The sequence below is a fragment of the Homo sapiens genome, chromosome 11 (assembly GCF_000001405.40).
Source record: "Homo sapiens chromosome 11, GRCh38.p14 Primary Assembly".
NCBI classification, from domain to species: Eukaryota; Metazoa; Chordata; class Mammalia; order Primates; family Hominidae; genus Homo; species Homo sapiens.
The window spans coordinates 79674429-79680076 of record NC_000011.10 but is presented as its reverse complement, the minus strand read 5'-3'; the positions used below and the strand labels follow the sequence as shown (position 1 = coordinate 79680076).

At 40.8% G+C, this 5648-nt stretch overlaps 2 annotated features.

Annotated features, from left to right (window-relative positions):
• Positions 572-1406: an enhancer, noted in NCBI's record as "OCT4-NANOG hESC enhancer chr11:79389715-79390549 (GRCh37/hg19 assembly coordinates)". NCBI's record gives its function as "activates a minimal SCP1, AML or CMV promoter by ChIP-STARR-seq in naive H9 embryonic stem cells {active_cell/tissue: H9 hESC(naive)}" and the evidence as "EXISTENCE:reporter gene assay evidence [ECO:0000049][PMID:30033119]".
• Positions 4595-4816: a silencer, noted in NCBI's record as "fragment chr11:79386305-79386526 (GRCh37/hg19 assembly coordinates)". NCBI's record gives its function as "represses an EF-1alpha promoter that drives an FKBP-Casp9 reporter gene in an ReSE screen in K562 erythroleukemia cells {active_cell/tissue: K562}" and the evidence as "EXISTENCE:reporter gene assay evidence [ECO:0000049][PMID:32094911]".

The following is a 5648-nucleotide window of genomic DNA, read 5'->3' as shown; positions in this document are numbered from 1 at the left end:
GAAAGGGGAGGTATGGGGAAGAGGAAAGGGGAATCTTTTAAATTGGGATCTAGAGAGAAACCCTCCAATAACAACTCCTGTGCACTTTGCTCCAGGAGGATCTGGGTGCAAATTCTGACAACATGATTTCCTCAATGTGGTTCCTTGAGCAAGTTAATGGATCTGAGGCTCAGTTTCCTCATCTCCAACACAGGATAATAATAGATTCCAGAGTACAGATTGGCCAAGTTAGTATACACACTGCACCTAGTATAGACTCCTAGCTAGTGTTAATTTCCCAGTATCCGCCCTTTGCAAACTTCTACAAAGAGGCTCTAGTAACTCCTAAGGTACCCTGGATCTTACTGGGGGCTCTGTTTTAAACCACAAAGACTGGTACTCTGATCATTTTCCTCTCTTTCAGAGGGTTTATAGCCAGGTTAACTATTCAGAGTTGTTAGACATTTGGAGTGAAACAAAGAAGACTCAATAAAATGATATATTAAATCTCTGAGGATTAGTCCATTAAAACAACTGACTTTTGGAATCCCAAGATTTTTTTTAAGACAAAAAGACAACAAAATTTCTGCAGGGTTTACTGATTTTCATGCTTTCCCCTGCATTTCTATCATCTTTCACTGATGCTCCTGACTTTCTGAGACGTCATAGGAGTGGGGGGCAGGGGGTGAATTTAGTGCAACCAGTGCAGAGCAGGCTGAAGCTATTTTTGCTCCACACTGGTTTTCCTGACCCTCACCCCAGAATCTTTCTGTTTGCAGAGTCCCTCCACAAAGCTCCAGTCCCTACAGCTCTTTGATTCTTCCATGGGATGTTCAACATTAACACATGTTTGAAACCTGCTGGGAGCATAAGCCCTGCTTAATGGAAACAAAAGTGTGATTAAGGAGATAATCTGGTAACTGTCAGTCACATTTTGCAAAGTTATTATCCAGTTGCAAATGTCTGAGTATTAGAGGCTCCAGTTTTTTTTTTTTTTTTCAAGGAACGTTCATTGCCTGTGGCTGCAAGTGAAAGAATGCTATTTCCCCATTTTAATTAGTGGTGTGTGTGCGTCTGCAGTTCCAACACCTTCATTTCTACATCTTTCCCACTGCCACCCCCAGCTACTTCTCTCCCTCTCTCTGTCCACACACACACTGTCACACCCTGTACGTGGATATAACATAAAGTTAAAATCGGAAACACTTTAGTAAAGAAGCAAAGCCCCTCCAAAACAAGCTCTAGGCCAAACTGCAAATTTGTGATGATGACATGCAGTTATTCAACTAAAGATCAGATGGAAACTGGGCAGCCAATTTACCATTCCAACTGATGGATGGGATAAGGGATTGCTGGACCATTGTGGAAACGCAAATGATTTTTAACTCCAAACACTCAGGGAAAATGAGATTAATTATGAAGCTGCTTATTCCTCTCATTACTCAAATGGTAAATAGATGATAGATATGGCGGGATGAAGGGATGAAGGGTGAAGTGTGTCCTGGTGGATATGTTGTTGATTTTCTTGTCATTGACTGAAAAAAATTAGCAAATAAGACACTATTATTCCAATAAAGCAGGGTGAACAGATAGCTCCCCTTCCCCTCTGTAGCCACCCTCCCCACTGACTTGTCATCTTCATCATCAACAAAAACAAAAGGACAAAATATAGTAGGAGAACCCAAGTCTTAATAACACATAGACTGGCCAGGTGCAGTGGCTCATGCCTGTAATCCTAGCATTTTGTGGGGCTGAGGCAGGCAGATTGCTTTGAGGTCAAGAGTTCGAGAACAGGCTGGGCAGTGTGGCAAAGCCCTGCCTCTACAAAAAATACAAAAATTAGCTGGGCATGGTCGTGGGCACCTGTAGTCCCAGCTACTCAGGAGGCTGAGGCTGGAGAATCACTGGAACCTGGAAAGCAGTGGTTGCAGTGAGCCAAGATTGCACTACTACACTCCAGCCTGGGTGACAGAGTGAGACCCTGTGCCAAAAATAATAATAATAATAATAAATAAATAAAAGTAATACATAGAATTAAAGGAATTGAGAGGAAAGAGTCAAAAGTAACCCTGAGGCTTCTCCTGGCTTGGGTTGACCAAGTGATACCATCACCTCTGACAGGTAAATCAGGAAGATCTGGATGTGAGGGGAAGGTCACGAGTTTAGGGTTGGACATGTTGTGTTTGAGATGCTTTGCGAATAGCCACATGGACATGTCAAACACATATCAAAAATGAAGGGCCCAAAGTGAGGAGTCGACTCAGATCTCAAGATACCCGACACCACTGCAGTTAATTATCTGCTCAGTGTCTGTCTTCCTGAAAAATTGCAGGCCTTTCTATTCACCACCATATCCTCTGTTCCTGGCTCAATAAATGGCTGAGGATGGAAGGAAGGAAGAGAGGAAGGGATGAGGGGAGAGGGGGAAGGAAAGGAGGATAGAGAAGAAGAAGGTAAGGGAAGGGAGAAATGAATGGAGATCTAATGATTAGGTAGGCATTAGTGATCATCAACTTCTACTCCATTCAGCAGCTATTAGGCTATGGGTATAAAATATAAACCAGCTTCTCAGATTATTTTATCAATCCTTACCACAAATGAAGTGAAAGAAAGGAAACTAACATTTGTTAAGTATCTACTGTCAGGAACAACAAAATCCTAGTATTTAGTCTACCTTTATCCCCTGCTGGATCTGCCAGCGTATTGTTTAGCAGTTGCTGAAGGTGCCTCAGCTTGCTGGGGTAGTCTGGCCTCTCCACCTTCACTCCTTCGTGGATGTTGGTTAATAAATGGACTGCTCTAACTTACTGTCTTTTGTTCCTTTACATCCCCCCTCCCATCTTCTGATCTGAAGCTGGTATGTTCTCTTTTTGTTTTTAAAAAGATTACAGTGCATACTTCTTTTTTCTTCCCTTTGAATGAATCCTCTTTTCTTCTAACTGCACTGAGAAGCCTCTTTCATTGTTCTGATTAGTCTCTACACGTTCACTGGTCTGTCACACTTGAGAACATGAATAACTAATAGAACCCTGCCTGTGAGTCTAACACATTCAGAAAATTTTAAACAGGACAAAGTCGCTTAATTTTGGGATTGTACTTAAAATACCGTCAAGGAAGAGCATTTGCTGGCACTTAACAAGATAGAAAGTAGTGGGCTAGACACTTCTTACAGATCATACCTGGTGTGGCAATACAATCTAATTTGTTCAGTATCAGTTTACACTTGTCCCAGTAAGATTCTTAACAGGACCAATACCCCCAACCTACTTCTCACATGTTCCTGTTTAAATGATAAATTATATATGCATTCCTAATCACACTTCATTTTATAGACCTCTGAGTTGATACCATCAATAACTTCATATCAGATGAGGCAACTGAGGCTCCATTAAGTCATTGGCCTCAAGCCTGACAACTCATGTGTCAGAATCTGGATTCTAATTTAGGAATGACTAGGTCTAAAACAGGCTCTCCAACATGCCAGGTGTAATTCAATATGAATTCACAAGATGATCAAAGTTCTTGGTTTCCAAATAAAACACGTTTTTGTGTGTGTGACCATGACGTAGTAATTTCCATTCTGCAAACAAAATGAGTCTACACAGAAATGTTTTTCTATTATTAATGTACACCTGGCAGAGTTTTAGTCAGGATCAGCCCTTTATAAGATTGGCAAAGATAAAAAGTTTGGCTTTCCTGCCTGCCCCAACTCCTCACTGTATCTTCTATCCACCCCCTAAACTCCTCTAGCTCCTGCTCTAGCTCTAGCTCCTGCTCTAGCTACTGCTCTAGCTCCTCTCCAGCAAAACCTAGAGAAACACACAGACTTTGTCAGCAGAGAGACCTGAGTTCAAATCCCAAAGCCACTGCATATCCACTGTATAACCGCAAGCAAGTAACACAGCATCTCTGTCCCTCAGTTTCCTCCTGTGTAAAATCAATACCACTATCTACCTCCTAGGGTTGTAGTAAGGACTAAAGATGAGGACATATAAGGCCCTCATACTTAAGTACCAACAGATGGTAGATACTTAACAAATATCAGTCCCTCCTGGACTCAGCAATGATCTGACATTCCACCTCAATTTAAGAGAATAGGATTCTCTTCTCAGGGTCTTTGTTAATAATGGGCTCACTTAGATTGAATGGTAGACGGAAAGACATGTCAAATATTCCAGGCTAGTAAAATATATGGGTGCTTGGTAAAGGGTCCTCTAAGTAATTCACTCATAATGTTCTCTGTTGTTGTTAGTACTATTGTTTACTTGTTTGTCTCCCCAAAAAGAAAATAAACTCAGAATGCATGATTATGTCCTGTCATATATCTCATTAGGGTGTTATCTGTGATGACTCTTGATGAATAAATAGAATTTTATCCAGGCCAGGCGTGGTGGCTTACATCTCCAATCCCAGCATTTTGGGAGGCTGAGGCGGGAGGATCGCTTGAGCCCAGGAGTTTGAGACCAGCCTGAGCAACATAGGAAGACCCTGTTTCTACAAAAAATAAAAATAATTAGCTGGGTATGGTGGCATGTGACTGTAGTCCCAGCTACTCTGGAGGCTGAGGTGGAAGGATTGCTTGAGCCAAGGAGATTGAGACTACAGTGAGCCACAATTGCACCACTGCACTCCAGCCTGAGTGACAGAGACTCAGTCTCAAAAAAAATTAATAAATAAAATAGAAGACATGAAAAAGGACTGTGTGGTATGAAGAGCAGGTGCAAAATTGTGTAGTGTTGAAGAAGCTCCGTTAAGAAGACAACGTGCCTAGACTGTTAGGTGAACTGGGATGACATGATGAATCACACTTACTGATCATGTACCATGTGTTCAGCTCTGTGCTAAGCACTTCACCTGGATCATTACACAACCAAGCTTCACAATAACTCAGTATGAGGAATATCCTTATTGTTCTATTTTGTACATGGTAAACTAAGGCCCAGAAGGATTACACACCTAGCAAGGGTCAGAACAAGAATCTAAACAAAGACCTTCTGATTGCAGTACCCAGGCTCTTAGCAAGGGTTGGAAATGAAGCTGCTGCTGTATGTTGGGCTCAGACTATGGGGGGGTTCCTGTGGGTCAGAGGAAAGGGTCACCTTTCACTCTGGAGACTCACGTGGTAGGAGGCTCTCTAGGTGCTAAACCAGAGCAGGCAGAGAGTAGACAACTGTTGAATTTAAAAGCAAATGAATTTTCTAATTGACTTAAGCCATTCCTGTTTCTGGTTTTGTGGTAGTTGCCACTGCTTCTCCAGTTACTTCAAGAGCTGTTGTGAAATTCTCAATGCAATCTCCAAAGAAAATCAATTGAAAAACACATATTTGTTCATGTGAATTATTCATGAACATTAATATACTTAAGTATATATGAATTTAAATTAGTTTCATTTGGAGTTTTTAAACATTTCAGAGGTACACATACACAAGTTATTCACAAGTTATTCATTCAACATTTGCTGTATGGCAGAAAACAAGTAGATGCCTAGAAACTAATAGCTTGGTAAACAACAACAATAATAATAATAATATTAACAATAGATATTTCCTGAGTATTTTCTGTATTCTAGATACTGTTCTCTATATTTTACAGATATTAACTCAGTTATTCTTCATAAAATCTCTATTTTTACCATTATCCCTATCTGAAAGACAAAGAAACAGTAAATT